The following is a 14,038-nucleotide window of genomic DNA, read 5'->3' on the forward strand; positions in this document are numbered from 1 at the left end:
TTCATTGTGAGGGTCTTTATTGAGCACCTGCTGTGTGTCCCTCCTGGCAGGCACCGAGGTGGACAGGGTGTCCCTCTCTCATGAGCCCACAGTAGCGAGGGAGGTGGACAAGGGAGCGGCCCCTGGTGAGGGTCAGGATGCTGGCAAGGATGGAGGGGCCTTAAGGAAGGGACAACCCAGGCGATCAACCATCCGGATTTCTTTGGGATTGAGGGGCTGCCAGGGGCAGGGACTCCGGTTCTGGAACTGGGGCTGTGCCAGTCAAAGTGGAGTGTTGTCACTGCAGACAGGGGCAATCTAGAGGGGCCACCTTAGAGGATGGCCAGGGGAGCGGACGTGATGAATGGAGAACGAGGCTGGTGGGAAGGAGAACGGAGTGGAAGGAGAGAATTTGACACAAGGAAGAAACCACACAGTCCGTGTCAACAAGATGGGCTCCTCTGTCTACCCTGCTCTTTCTGTACCAGGGAGCTAAGGCCGGGGGAAGAAGAGAAGGACAGTGGTATAGTGAGGACTGGAAGTGGCTTTCTGGATACCTGGGTTGAGCGTGGCCAATCAGCATAAAGCTGTCAGGTGAAGGCCCACAGGGCCCTGATGGGCCCCTGTGGAGATCCTGGGGATGGGGGATGGTGACATGAATCCCCCAACTGGCTGTCCTGGCATAGTTACCAGGGGAAAAGGAATTTAACATAAAATCCCACTGACCTGGGCTGGCAGGGAGCCATAGGATCTCCAGGCAGCAGCAACAGCTCCCTGCACAGTGGCCAGGTTGAGGTGGCCCACAAGCCTGGAAATCTGGTCAGCAGCTCCGGGAAACCCTGGGTCCTGGGCATTGCCCCGTCCCTCGGCTTCCTCCACCTTCCCGAATCAACTGCCATCGGAATCCGCTGCCCCCCAAAGCTCTGGGCTGGCCATGAAGGGGCCAGTGCTTCCGGGCTGCCTGCTTCGAGGACACCAGCACTCCTGCCACGGGCCATTCGTCCATCGCTGCCAGTGGCCCTCCCTCTCAGGGTTCGGCAGTCCACTGTCCCCGAGGAAATACTAGTTACTAGGTGACGACACGGTTCCTAAAACAGGCTGGTGTTCTGCATTCAGCCCTGCTGCAACCTCAGAGCCGTGCTGCCTGCTCCTGATCCCAGAGGTGCCGTCTCTGAAGAGGCCACCCCTGGAAGCGCTGTCCTGCCTAGAGTCAGGGCTCACTTCCCTGGTTATGCCCACTAGCTGTGGGTCCTTGGGCAGCTTCTCAACCTCTCTGAGCCTTGGTTTCCTCATTGTAAAAAGGAGATAATAAAGGCATCACGTCACAGGCTTGTTGGGAGGGTGCAAGGAGGTACTAAATGTGACAAACTGAATACAGTGTTGGGTGCACAAGTGCTCCTCAGTGCTACATGTCACCCCCAACCTCCTGGGCCAAGTGCCCAGAGTGCTGTGATGAGGGTCAGACTCAACTCAGCCAGACCCAGGGGACACTGACCCAGGAATTACAATGGAAGATGTTTTCACTGTGGAGGAGCTGGGGGCCGGAAGACTTGCCACGTTTAGGGAGGCCCAAGTGGACACTGGCTGGTTGGGGGTGCCCTGGGGAGGAGAGACTGGTGGAGGGACCTGGGCCAGCGGGGAGGGTGGCCAGCAGGCCTGGACTGTTGGGCTGATCAGAGATCCTTGAGTGCAGGTGGGGAGAAACCTTCTAGAAATGTTTGTTTGTTTGTTTATTTATTTATTTATGAGACAGAGTCTCGCTCTGTTGCCAGGCTGGAGTGCAGTGGTGCAATCTCAGCTCACTGCAACCTCCACCTCCTGGGTTCAAGTGATTCTCCTGCCTCAGCCTCCCGAGTAGCTGGGACTACAGGCACCCATCACCATGCCTGGCTAATTGGTATTTTCAGTAGAGATGGGGTTTCGCTATGTTGACCAGGATGGTTTTGATCTCTTGTTCTTGTGATCTGCCCACCTTGGCTTCTCAAAGTGCTGGGATTACAGGCGTGAGCCACTGTGCCTGGCCAAAATGTTGTATTTATAAAAATTGTTTAGAGAAGGCTGGGCGTGATGGCTCACGCCTGTAATCCCAGCACTTTGGAGGCCAAGGCGGGTGGATCACCTGAGGTTAGGAGTTTGAGACCAGCCTGACCAACATGGTGAAACCCCATCTCTACTGAAAATACAAAATTAGCTGGGCGTGGTGGCGCATGCCTGTAATCCCAGCTACTCGGGAGGCTGAGGCAGGAGACTTGCTTGAACTCGGGAGGCCAAGGTTGTGGTGATCACCCCATTGCACTCCAGCCTGGGCAACAAGAGCAAACTCCGTCTCAAAAAAAAAAAAAAAAAAAAAAAAGAGAAAATCCTCTAACCCCATTCAGCAATTTTTGCAATCCACCCCTGCCTGCAGTCATAGCTAAAATTCTGAAACCATATAACGCCAGCAAGGAAGAGAATTTAACAAAGGCAAGTAATTTGCTTTACTAAGTTTTAAATCCTCTTATATCCTACCAAACAGTTGTCAGCCTCAGGAAAAAATATGGCAGGTGAAAATAGAAGAGAAAATAAGAATCACAGAAGAGGAACAAACACGATGGAGATTTTCAGAACATTAACTAGGCTTTGGCCACCAGCAGTGACTTAGTAAATGGAACTGTTTCTCTGAACATCTTTTTTATTTTTTTGAGACGGAGTTTTGCTCTTGTTGCCCAGGCTGGAGTGCAATGGTGCGATCTCGGCTCACTGCAACCTCTTTCCTGGGTTCCAGCGATTCTCCTTGCCTCAGCCTCAGCCTCAGGTGATCCCGACCTCAGGTGATCCACTCGCCTCAGCCTCCCAAAGTGCTGGGATTACAGGCGTGAGCCGCCGCGCCCGGCCGGATTTTCTCATTTTTACTAGAAGGTTCTATCTCCTGGGGGTGGGGTGAGGTGGTGAGACCAATTCACCTGGAAGTGGAAGCTGGGAACTTGGTTTGAGTTCTGAGGGTTCTGGGGTCTCGCCCCTTATCTTGCTTTGCCTGGAGGGCTGAAGGGCTGGAAATATTTTTGTTTTGGGGCTGGAACCAGGACTGCAGTTTGGGAGCCGGTGCTAGGTTGGAAGAGGAGGCGGGGTCTGGTAAGCACTTTAGCCGAATTGAGCAGTGGGAATTAGGGAATTGAGGGCAGTGGGAAGCTGGTTCTGAGTTTTAAACTGGGGAGTGACAGATCAGAGCTGGATTTTTAGGAGTTTCTCTGTTTGGAGGTTTAGAAAAGACCCAGGTGGGAGGTAGGGCTGGGGTGGGGAGGGAGAGAAGTGGACGATCTGAGAGCTGAGGTGGGGTGGAAGGAGAGCAGCGTGTCACGGGCTCGGGATTCCGGCCCAGGCGGCCAGGTGGACGGAGATAAAGATGCGCTTCTTCATCCGAACTGGGTTTGCTAACCTGTGACTGTCACCACTCCATGCTCCAGGGCACCTGGCCCAAGGGATCCGGCCTCTTGGGCACACAAATCCATATGGAGCCCTGAAGGACCAGACAGGGACCTTGCCTTCTCTGTGTCCTTCCTGGGAAGGGGACTCCAGACCAACTGCCAGTCTTCCGGTTCCACCTCTCTGACAACCGCTCACCTCACCCTCCTTGGCATTTTTATTTCAAATGCTCTATCCCTTTGTTTGCATGGGTTCCTGTGTCATATTCTGTGTTCCCATTTTTAATTGGAGAATAAGGGACTGTATGTTATTCTACCCACAGGCCTAGCTGAGGGGATAGGGAGGCCATGCCTACCTCCAAGGCTCTAAGAAGTGAAGCAGGCGGCGAGAATGTGCAGTCGTTGAGGCCAGAGGACCGGGCCTCAGCTTCTCCTTAAGCCCCTGAGTCCTCCTCTGGGGACCACCCCCTTGTACCTGGAGGTGAAAATGCCCGCCCAGGAGGGAAGGGCTGGCCCCGGGAGAGCCCGCTGCGAAGTGAGTTTGCGCACTGCGGAGCGGGCGCGGGTGACTCCAGAGCGGCCCTGCCAGTCCGCGGGGCTGGCGGGGAGCAGGTTCGTGCACCGCGGGCTCTGTGCATGCAGAGGCGGGAAGAGCCCCCAGCCCGGCAGCCGGCCCCGCGGGAAGGCGCAGCCCGGGCTTCCGAACCCTGTGAACGCGCAGGTTCCTGGTCTTCCAGATGGGCAGGAATCGTCCTGCCCGCCCGGGGTGGGAGGCCACATGGGGGCACTGCGCCCGGGCGCGGCCCCAGGTGCTTTCCAAATGCCCACTGCCGCTCTCATCCGTACCAGCGATGATCAAGAAGGGGCCTGGTCGCCCGGGGAGGTGCCCCGGCCCGAATCGACTCCGGAGACAACGCCGGGCGACGCCACCTGCGCAGGTCCCGGAGGGCCGCTGGTGTCTGTGTACAGGGCGTGCTGTCTGTGGAAACGCGAGGGCACACTAGCACTTTCCTGTATGTATTATTATACTTCAGTTTTTAGGAAGTGCATTAGAAGGGCCTGCACCAGTCAAATTCGGGGATTAAAGCTTTTAAGCGGGAAGCGCGCGCCCCGTGCTGTCCCTTTAAAGCGTTGGGCCGGCCCGAGGCATTCTGGCCGCTGTCGCTGCCCGTAGCGCTCCTCCGAGAGGCCGGCTTTGTGAGCTCGCCCCGCCCCCCGGACACCGCCCCCTCCCCTCGCGCACGCGCACTGCGCCCCCGCCGCCTGGCGCCCGCCCGAGCTGCCGCCTTGTCGAGCTGAGTCCGCGCTCCCGCCCAGGCGGCGGCCGACGCGACGCCCCGAGCGCCCGGCCCCGCCGCCGCGGCCCGGCAGGTAAGCGGGCAGCCGCCCGGCCCGGGGAACACAAGGCGGGCAGCGGGGCGGCGCCAGAAGCTTCCAAACCGCACCCGGCCGCCGCACGTGTTCCCCGCCGGGCCTCGGGCCAGGCCCAGCCCCGGGCGCTGCTCCCGCTGCAGCGGCCCCGCCCGGGACCCCCGCCCCGGCCCCTCGGTGGACGGCCGCGCGCGCAGTTCCCTCCACCCGGTCCGCCCCCACTCGCGCCCCCACCTCCGCCTCCCCGGCGGACCGCTGACAAGGCCAGAGCGCCGGCACTGGGTCCTCTTTCCCGCAGGCAGCGTGCCCGGCCTCACATCGCCCCTCTCCCTCCACTGCCCCTTCAGGGAAGGACCCCAGACCCACCAAGCCACTCAGTCCCTGGACGAGGTGCGCTTCCCCTCCTCGTAGAAACGCCCCCAGCCCGCTCCCGCCGCTCACCCCAACCCGAGGCAGCCAGGCTGCAGCTCGCTAGGTGGGGTCCTGGGGTGCGGGTCCTCGGTCCTGAACGGTAGGCCCACCGTGCCTCCTCGCGCGGGGCCGCAGACCTGTCCTGGCCGGTCTGCGAGAGCCATTTTGAGCGGTTACGTTCCCGGACCAAACAGAGGTCGGCCTGTTACATCGCTAACGACACTCCCTGCTGTCTCGCTTGCAAGTTTCCACTCACCCCGGTCCGTTTACCCATCTCCTCAAATGCTAGTTTAATCTGTGACCTGGGCAGGTGCTGTCCTAGCCGGTGGGGAAGACAGGAAAGCGAAGGACCCAGGCGGGGAGCCTGTCCAGGATCTCAGATAGGGAGAGCCAGGTCCCCACCTCTGTTGGGCCGGCCACCCGGCTGGTGTTTAAGATGCAGATTAATTCCTGTCTTTGCACACAGTATGCTTTTCTGACTGCATGTCACAGGCAGATTCCTGGGCTCCACCTCAGGGACTGAGGGACTCAGGAATCGGCCTGTGGCATGCAGTCCAGGAGGGCACACTGAGGTTTGGTTGCTCGGCTTCAGGTGGTCAGGCTTACCTGGATGAAAAGCAGTGGCTGCTAGGAGGAGCCAGGCAGCATCTGGTCTAGGGGCCGCCAATTCATCACCGTTCCCGTAACCTTGGCCCCCGCTTTCCTCAAGATCAAGTCTCCAACCTTCCTGTTCTCTCAAAAGGATTGTTCCACAGAGACACCTGAGTGTTCATGAAAATGCCAAGCCTTGGCCCGGCGCGGTGGCTCACGCCTGTAATCCTAGCACTTTGGGAGGCTGAGGCGGGCGGATTGCCTGAGGTCAGGAGTTCGAGACTAGCCTGGGCAACATGGCGAAACTCCGTCTCTACTAAAAATACAAAAGATTGGCCGGGCGTAGTGGTACGCGCCTGTAATCCCGGCTAAACTGGAGGCTGAGGCGCAAGAATTACTTGAACCCGGAAGGTGGAGGTTGTAGTGAGCCCAGATCGTGCACCTGGACTCTTTGGACTGTGTCTCAAAAAAAAAACAAAAACAAAAAAAAAACACGCCAAGCCTAGACCCCACCGACGTAGAAACTTGGTGGGTGTGTTGGGTCAAGAAATTGCATTCCCCGCCACCCCCCGACGGAGTTTCACTGTTTGGCCCAGGCTGGAGTGCAGTGGCGCAATCTTGGTTCTGCCTTCTGGTTTCAAGTGATTCTCCTGCCTCAGCCTCCCGAGTAGCTGGGATTACAGGGACCGACCACCACACCCGGCTAATTTCTGTATTTTTAGTAGGGAGGGGGTTTCTCCATGCTGGTCAGGCTGGTCTTGAACTTCCTGACCTCGTGATCTGCCCACCTCAGCCTCCCAAAGTGCTGAGATTACAGGCGTCAGCCACTGTGCCCAGCCATCATATTCTTAAAAGTCAAGTTAAGGTTGTTTTGTTTGTTTCTTTTACATGTTCATGTTTTTTGAGCCCAAAGGTTGGGGCAGGTTGGGCTTGAGCTGGGAGGGGCTGGACACCTTTTTTGTAAGACCGCCTATCTGTTGTTCCTCCTCTGAGGGTGTTTCCAGGCGTCTAGACTCACCCAGGTGAGTTGATGCTGACAGGAGCTGCTCGGCCTTCTGAGCTGCCTATTTCGCCTTCTGTTCCTCTGGTGTTTCGCTTGGGTAGGGCATGGGCACAGTTCACTCAGCTCTGGCCCTGGCCTGGCTGTCTAACGCTAGGACTGTTATAGTGGACTTTGCAGCTTTTTGCTTGGATTTCCTTAGTTCCTCTCTCTCCCTGTATTTGTCCAGCCTGCCAAGGAAAATGCAGCAGTTGGGTTAAATTGGCATGGCTAGGTTGCACTAATGACAAGTACCACGTAGCTGGCATTTACCGAGGACCGGTTTTGTACTGGCACTTTGTCCCCTGGGCAGCGCTACAGGGCCTGCCCCTCCTCTCCCCCTCTCTTGTACTGTACTCGGCCCTAGATGCAGCGTGATCCATCTTTGCGCAGGGAATCTTTGCTGCAGGTGAAATGGAGCGGTGGCCACACCTGTTCTCTGCAAAGTGGGTGTTGTAATTTCTCTGCCTTCCTCTTGGATGAAGACTTTGAGACATGCTTTTTAATGCCTTCCATTTCGCGTTAGTGTTACAATCAGCCTGTGCAAGATTTCAGTTCCAAGCTCCAAGCTAGAATTTACAGTGTGTAAACTCATTAGATTGATGGTAGTGCTAGCTTCTGGGATTCCGATGGCCAGTGGTATTTGCAAGCATGTCTCAGTGGCTTTCCCTTTTAAAAATGCTGTCCCTCCTTTCCAAGTAACCTGTTGTGCTTTTATGAGATGTATTGAAGTAATGAATCTATTCCCATGGTAGAGGAAACTAGCTGCTTACTGTACAGATTTGGGATAATTTTCATTGTCAAGGTGAAACCGATTGAACTGCAGTCTTTTTTCGTTCCCCTGCAGTGTGAGTCCTGCTCGTAGAATATCGTTGGTGTACTTGAGGCTGCTTTTCCAGAAGGCAGGATGTGGAAATTCCAGCAGGCAGAGCTGCCTCTGGCTTGCTCTCATCTCTGTGTTTTGTGGCTCCTCACTGAGTGCGCGAGCCCTGTGAGCTGTTAGCATGCTGGAAGGCAGCCTCGGGCCAGCAGCCTGTGCATGGAGGCACTGGAGCCCCCCCATGAGGCGTAGACCACTGGGTGCCCGTGCTTGTGTTTTCAAACGTGGCTGTGAACGTGATTGCGTCACTTGGGGTGCATTTTAGGATTTGGATGTGATCCCAAATTTCTACACCCTGAAGCTCAGTCTTCTGTCATTTGGCGTGTTAGCTTTCTGTCAGGAAACCTTTTGCTGTTCTTTTTTTAATGTGTCCAGGGCTCTTTGAAGAAAACTGCATTTTGTTTGCACAAACTGCTGCATTCTTACAGACTTCTGGATAACAAAATAAGAAGCACGCTTGAGGGTGGGGTCTTTCATTATGATGACAAAAGGGGAGAGCGCAGGGGTGTCAGCGGAGCAGCTGGAAAGTATTAGCAAGGACTTAGGGGAATTAATAGGGTCCTCAATTTGGAATGGTTTGTTTGCTACAGGGCTCAATATGGTAGTCAAATGTTTTTCTTTTCATCCTTTTTCTTGGAAATCAATTTTTTAAAATATAGTTTGTTTCTTGGCTCCCTGTTCTGCATCTCGCTCAACAGACTGCCTCTGTCACCGGGTCCCTCCACCCTTGTCTCCTGTGCGGCCAGCGTCAGAGCCATGGCGACGGAGGAGAAGAAGCCCGAGACCGAGGCCGCCAGAGCACAGCCAACCCCTTCGTCATCCGCCACTCAGAGCAAGGTGCGTGCCCAGGGGCCCCTTGGACACCTTCCGGGGGCAAATACGCTTAGAGAGTCTCGGAAACATCTCAAGCTCATAAGCCTAGTCTTCCCTACTCAGTTAAATGTCACTGCTAATTTTTATTTACTGACCGCATATCTGGCGAATGCTTGTTGCCTGCTGTGTCAGGGATCCCAAATCTGTCACCTGGAGGAGAGAGCCTTTTATCAAAAATACAGATTCTTGGTTCTGATTGTAAGAGTCTCTGTAGGAACCAGAAAACATCTCTTTATAGTTGCCCCCACCCTGGCTGCGATCCTGACGCACAGGCAGTTCTGCAAGCCCTCCCGTAGACCTTTAGCAAAGGGAGCAGGGCTTCAGTGTTCGGGGTCGGAGGGTGGGGCGCTGGACCAAGGCCAGAGCTGGTGGGGGCCTCCTGTGCTGTAGCAGGATCACAGGTGGGATTGAGGTGGGGGGATGAGGTGGATTGAGGGGGGCCTCACGTTTCTGGCTCGGCTGGTGCTGTTGGTGCTGAGTTTGGAGACTACAGAAGAGGAGGTCTTGTGGGGAAGTAGTGGGCTCAGATTCAGATGTGTTCCACTTGAAAGGTACTGTCCACATAGAGATTGGTGGAAGGCACTGGGCATGTGGATTTGGAGCTCTAAAGATCTGAGCTGAAATTAAATGGTGGGAGTCAAAATCCAAACTGGTCACGGGTGGAACGTACAGTGGTGGTGACTTTTTGCTAACTGGTCTTTCCTGCAGCCTACACCTGTGAAGCCAAACTATGCTCTAAAGTTCACCCTTGCTGGCCACACCAAAGCAGTGTCCTCCGTGAAATTCAGCCCGAATGGAGAGTGGCTGGCAAGTTCATGTACGTAGCACTGAGGCCCTTAGCTGCTGGGAGAGGCGGTCTGAGCTGCAGACAAAAAGCTGGCGAGGGGATGGCTTGCTTCCTCACCTACCGCTGGGGAGACGTAGCAGGCCGCTGGGGGGCACGTAGCAGGCGGGTGTGTCTCCTCCTGGAACTGTGAGCTCAGTGCTGGTTGAAATTGCCCGTGGGGGGCCAGGCGTGGTGGCTCATGCCTGTAATCTCAGCACTTTGGGAGGCAGAGGCAGGCGGATCACGAGGTCAGGAGTTCGAGAGCAGCCTGGCCAATATGGTGAAACCCTGTCTCTATTAAAAATACAAAAAAAGATTAGCCGGGCATGGTGGCACATGCCTGTAGTCCCAGCTACTCAGGAGGTTGAGGCAGGAGAATCGCTTGAACCTGGGAGGCAGAAGTTGCAGTGAGCTGAGATCATGCCACTGCACTCCAGCCTGGGCGACAGAGCCAGACACCGTCTCAGAAAAACAAAAGAAGAAGAAAGAAAAGAAATTGCCCGTGGACCCTGGGAGGGAGGGGAAGGGGACTGGTCCTCTCAGGCATGTGGCCGTGCTGAATGGGTTCTGAGCCATGTGGTTCATGCTGATCACCTGGGACTCATGTGGGAAAAGCTCAGACTTTGGACTCTGGATGACTAGACAATTGTGTCCTGCTCTTAGCCTCAGATCCTTTTGTTTTCTTTCAGCTGCTGATAAACTTATTAAAATTTGGGGCGCGTATGATGGGAAATTTGAGAAAACCATATCTGGTCACAAGCTGGTAGGTTTCAGCCCTGTGCGGTGAAGTTGACTGTTGAACAGGGTGGCTCTAGTGATCAAGGGGTCAGGGCTGCTTCGAGAGCTGTGGGTTCAGGTTTTAAGTTTTCCCCGTTTTTTAATTTTTTTATAGTTATTTGCATCTTGAACTTTTAACCCAAATAACATTTGACTTCCATGGAGGAGTGTCTGTGAGGCTGGCAGAGCTGCAGAAAGCCTGCTGTTTTTCTCCTGGGCCGTGTGTCTTTTGTAAGGTTAACACTAGTGAGAAGATTTCCTGAGGGCAATGGGGATGTTTGGGATTTTGACCTTTTGCCGATGGTCCTATTTTGTCCTGTCAAGTTACTGACCCTGTTTTTTCTCCCCAAGGGAATATCCGATGTAGCCTGGTCGTCAGATTCTAACCTTCTTGTTTCTGCCTCAGATGACAAAACCTTGAAGATATGGGACGTGAGCTCGGTAAGTGACACTCAGTGCTTCTCTCCAGGGGAGACCGGCTGCAGGGCACGGGGCAGGTGCGGGGGACTGAGTTGACTGCTCAGTAAGCAACACTCAGCGCTCCTCTCCAGGGAAGACTGGCTGCAGGGGCATGGGGCGGGGGTGGGTGGGGGAGGCCGAGTTGACTTCGGGGAACAGCAAGTCACTGGCGGGGCATCAGGCATGCTTTGGGATGTCAGACATTGATGAATGTGACCTGACTCTTACGTTTGGGGAAATAAGCACTGGAATAATCCTAATAATACTCTGTTATAGGGCAAGTGTCTGAAAACCCTGAAGGGACACAGTAATTATGTCTTTTGCTGCAACTTCAATCCCCAGTCCAACCTTATTGTCTCAGGATCCGTAAGTGTGGCTGGGGTGTCTTCCCTGGGGGAGGTGGTGTCGGATGTGGGAAGGCTGTTGAATTTGCTTGTAGCCACTGTGGAGAAGGCAGGTGGGCCCTGAGTCCTTTCTGTGCTGTTTGTGGGGAGGATGGGCTGATAGCAGGTCTTAGGTTCTGGGGAGGTTTGTCCCCTCTCCTTCCTGTAAAATCACTGTCATCTCTTTTGTGTTCAGTTTGACGAAAGCGTGAGGATATGGGATGTGAAAACAGGGAAGTGCCTCAAGACTTTGCCAGCTCACTCGGATCCAGTCTCGGCCGTAAGTCCCTCTGACACGGATGGGGTGGTGTCCAGCACTACGTTTCTCTGACATCGGATGTGGCCAGCTGTCTCCCTGAGGGGCGTAAGCCTGGCCATGGCCTGTGCCTAGCTGATTCCTGCTGTCATGCCACAGTCTAGAGCAATCAGGTTGGAGGCTGGGACTTGAGAAATGAGTCCTGTGTGCAGTGGAGGGATGGCGAGGGGGTGGTGAGGTGTCAGTGGGGTGCCCTGTGATGAGCACCAAGGGGCCGTTTGTGCAGACTTGGGGGCAGTGGCCACAGGCGTTCAGGAGGTAGTGTACCCTGAACTGATGCACGGGACAGGAAGGGCGGCCAGGCTGGGAAGGGCACTGGGAGTGGTGGGAGCACAGGTGAAGTGTGAGTTTTGAGTGGAGTTAGCTTTGATGGGCGGGCTGGGTGGGGATGGCCCAGTCCTGGTGGGAAGTGTTGGAGGCTGGAGCTCTCCGGAGAGCGGGCCTTGCACAGGGACACGTCCTGCCATTTTGCTGTTGCCACTGTGCAAACCAAACGGCCGAGAGGCCGGGCGTGGCGGCTCACGCCTGCAATCCCAGCACTTTGGGAGGCCGAGGCGGGTGGATCACTTGAGGTCAGAAGTTTGAGACCAGCCTGGCCAACATGGTGAAACCCCGTCTCTACTAAAAATACAAAAATCAGCTGGACGTGGTGGCGCGTGCCTGGAATCCCAGCTCCTGGGGAGGCTGAGGCCAGAGAATCACTTGAACCTGGGAAGCGGAGGTTGCAGTGAGCCGAGATCGCACCACTGCCTGGGTGACGAGAGCGAAACTCTGTCTTTTTTTTTTTTTGAGACTGAGTCTCGCTCTGTTGCCCAGGCTGGAGTGCAGTGTTGCGATCTCGGCTCACTGCAAGCTCCGCCTCCCGGGTTCATGCCATTCTCCTGCCTCAGCCTCTCCGAGTAGTTGAGACTACAGGCGCCCACCACCATGCCTGGCTAATTTTTTGTATTTTTAGTAGAGACGGGGTTTCACCGTGGTTTCGATCTCCTGAGCTCGTGATCCTCCCGCCTTGGCCTCCCAAAATGCTGGGATTACAAGTGTGAGTCACTGCGCCCGGCCAAAACTCTGTCTTTAAAAAAAAAAAAAAAATCAAGAACAAATGGCCAAGAGTTAAACTACACAGTATCATAAACCGCTCCATTTCACAAAGTGGCCAGAAAGTTCTTTTGTTAACAAAGTGCATGAGGTAGTTTCTTGGCCAATCCTGCCCTTCGTTGAGAAGCGGAAGGAAGGGTGGATGCAGCATTTGTCCCATGCTGCCTGCCCGTGTGCCTTTCACTTTGTGCCATCTTGGCGGTGAATGGGTTTAAGCATTTTTACCCTTGGAAGGCTTTGCCCGAGTGAGATGGCAGGCGAAGCCCTGATACTGCCCGGACGGACAGTGTGTCAGGCCTGGGCGGGGCTGCGGGGTCTGAGCCCCGCACATAGCTGGGCCACAAGACCCTCGCGGGCCCAGTGTCACTGCTGCGGGGAGGCCGTTTGCTGTGGGGATGGCACCATGTGGCCCTGTGCTTGTGGCTGTGTGCTTGCGGGCCCAGCCCCTTGGTGCCAGTCCGCTGCCCTCCAGGACACCTTGGGTCATAGTCAGCAGAGCTGACCTTCAGACTGGGGCTGACAAATGAACGCTTGTGAAGTAACCTGAGAAAGGGGTTCGCTGGTGGCCTTTGAGTTGGAAGAAAGAATTCTGTGAGCATCCTAGAGGCCAAAGATAGCGCAGGTGGGACTCGCGGTTGATAGGTAGGATTTTAAAAGTCTTTTTTTCTTACGAAAGTCACGTTTGCTCATAAAAAAACACAAAAACAGGTTGGGTGCCATGTCTCCCACCTGTAATTCCAGCACTTTGGGTGGCTGAGGCAGGAGGATCCCATGAGACTAGGAGTTTGAGACCATCCTGGACAACATAGTGAGATCCTGTCTCTATACAAAAAGCAAAAATTAGCCGGGCGTAGTGATGCGCACGTGTGGTCCCAGCTACTTGGAGGACGGTGGGAGGATTGCTTGGGCCCAGGAGTTTGAGGCTGCAGTGAGCAAGATGGTACCACTGCACTCCAGCCTGGGTGACAGAGTGAGACCCCATGTCTTAAAAAAACCACAAAGGTGAGCAAATGTAGGAAGTAGAAAATGAATTCCCTGAGCCACCCCTGGGGTCAGCTGCCAGGAGGTGGAGTCGGTCCCTCTGTGGTCTTCTACTTTGCTTTTTTAGGTGCATATTTTCCAGGGTAGCTCACTCCTGTCCTTTAAATAACTGGTACCACATCACAGCTGCTGCTCCGTAGCTGTCTCCACTCCACAGCTGCTGCTCTGTAGCTGTCTCCACTGCAGAGAGGTTTGTGGGGCTTTGTTTTTTTTTTTTTTTTTTTTGAAACAGAATCTCACTCTGTTGCCCAGGCTGGAGTGCGGTGGTGCGATCTTGGCCCACTGCAAGCTCTGCCTCCTGGGTTCAAGGGGTTCTCCTGCCTCAGCCTCCCAAGTACCTGGGATTACAGGTGCCCACTACCACGACTGGCTAATTTTTGTATTTTTAGTAGAGACAGGGTTTCACCATGTTGGCCAGGCTGGTCTCAATCTCCTAACCTCAAGTGATCCGCCCGCCTGGTCCTCCCAAAGTGCTGGGATTACAGGCGTGAGCCGCTGCGCCTGGCCTGGGGCACCTTTGATGTCTGCGCACATCTATGCCCTTGGATTGCTGGTGTGGGCCTGCTGTGTGAGCAAGGACTCTGCCAGTCGCCTCT

General features: G+C 55.1%; 1 protein-coding gene and 1 long non-coding RNA gene across 18 annotated transcripts in view, besides 6 other annotated features; one reads left to right on the forward strand and one right to left on the reverse strand.

Moving 5' to 3' along the window:
* On the reverse strand, positions 1–4,533 carry WDR5-DT (WDR5 divergent transcript). Of its 4 annotated transcripts, none has more exons than NR_186420.1 (2): positions 3,737–4,533; positions 1–1,024 (listed from the first exon to the last, which is right to left on the reverse strand). It is a non-coding gene; the product is annotated as a WDR5 divergent transcript (long non-coding RNA). The 4 variants fall into 4 exon arrangements; NR_186422.1 differs by lacking the exon at positions 1–1,024 and adding an exon at positions 2,433–2,887; NR_186421.1 differs by lacking the exon at positions 1–1,024 and adding an exon at positions 2,433–2,921.
* Positions 864–1,433: an enhancer, noted in NCBI's record as "H3K27ac-H3K4me1 hESC enhancer chr9:136997435-136998004 (GRCh37/hg19 assembly coordinates)". NCBI's record gives its function as "activates a minimal SCP1, AML or CMV promoter by ChIP-STARR-seq in naive H9 embryonic stem cells {active_cell/tissue: H9 hESC(naive)}" and the evidence as "EXISTENCE:reporter gene assay evidence [ECO:0000049][PMID:30033119]".
* Positions 3,674–3,783: an enhancer, noted in NCBI's record as "active region_29270". NCBI's record gives its function as "activates an Ori minimal core promoter by ATAC-STARR-seq in GM12878 lymphoblastoid cells {active_cell/tissue: GM12878}" and the evidence as "EXISTENCE:reporter gene assay evidence [ECO:0000049][PMID:35858748]".
* The window catches only part of WDR5 (WD repeat domain 5), a 24,770-nt gene continuing 14,481 nt past the window's right edge, over positions 3,750–14,038 (forward strand). The window contains exons 1-8 of one of the 14 annotated variants that reach the window (NM_001384413.1): positions 3,928–4,393; positions 5,099–5,141; positions 8,371–8,509; positions 9,254–9,362; positions 10,061–10,134; positions 10,500–10,589; positions 10,884–10,973; positions 11,187–11,270. In NM_001384413.1, coding sequence (NP_001371342.1) covers positions 8,429–8,509; positions 9,254–9,362; positions 10,061–10,134; positions 10,500–10,589; positions 10,884–10,973; positions 11,187–11,270 — 528 coding nt within the window. In that variant the 5' untranslated portion in view covers positions 3,928–4,393; positions 5,099–5,141; positions 8,371–8,428. The other 13 variants (NM_001384415.1, NM_001384414.1, NM_001384410.1 and 10 more) reach the window with 13 other exon arrangements.
* Positions 3,974–4,143: a silencer, noted in NCBI's record as "silent region_20476". NCBI's record gives its function as "represses an Ori minimal core promoter by ATAC-STARR-seq in GM12878 lymphoblastoid cells {active_cell/tissue: GM12878}" and the evidence as "EXISTENCE:reporter gene assay evidence [ECO:0000049][PMID:35858748]".
* Positions 4,584–4,763: a silencer, noted in NCBI's record as "silent region_20477". NCBI's record gives its function as "represses an Ori minimal core promoter by ATAC-STARR-seq in GM12878 lymphoblastoid cells {active_cell/tissue: GM12878}" and the evidence as "EXISTENCE:reporter gene assay evidence [ECO:0000049][PMID:35858748]".
* Positions 4,584–5,614: a biological region, named in NCBI's record as "NANOG-H3K27ac-H3K4me1 hESC enhancer GRCh37_chr9:137001261-137002185".
* Positions 4,690–5,614: an enhancer, noted in NCBI's record as "NANOG-H3K27ac-H3K4me1 hESC enhancer chr9:137001261-137002185 (GRCh37/hg19 assembly coordinates)". NCBI's record gives its function as "activates a minimal SCP1, AML or CMV promoter by ChIP-STARR-seq in primed H9 embryonic stem cells {active_cell/tissue: H9 hESC(primed)}" and the evidence as "EXISTENCE:reporter gene assay evidence [ECO:0000049][PMID:30033119]".

Source organism: Homo sapiens, chromosome 9, assembly GCF_000001405.40.
Source record: "Homo sapiens chromosome 9, GRCh38.p14 Primary Assembly".
Classification (NCBI taxonomy): domain Eukaryota; kingdom Metazoa; phylum Chordata; class Mammalia; order Primates; family Hominidae; genus Homo; species Homo sapiens.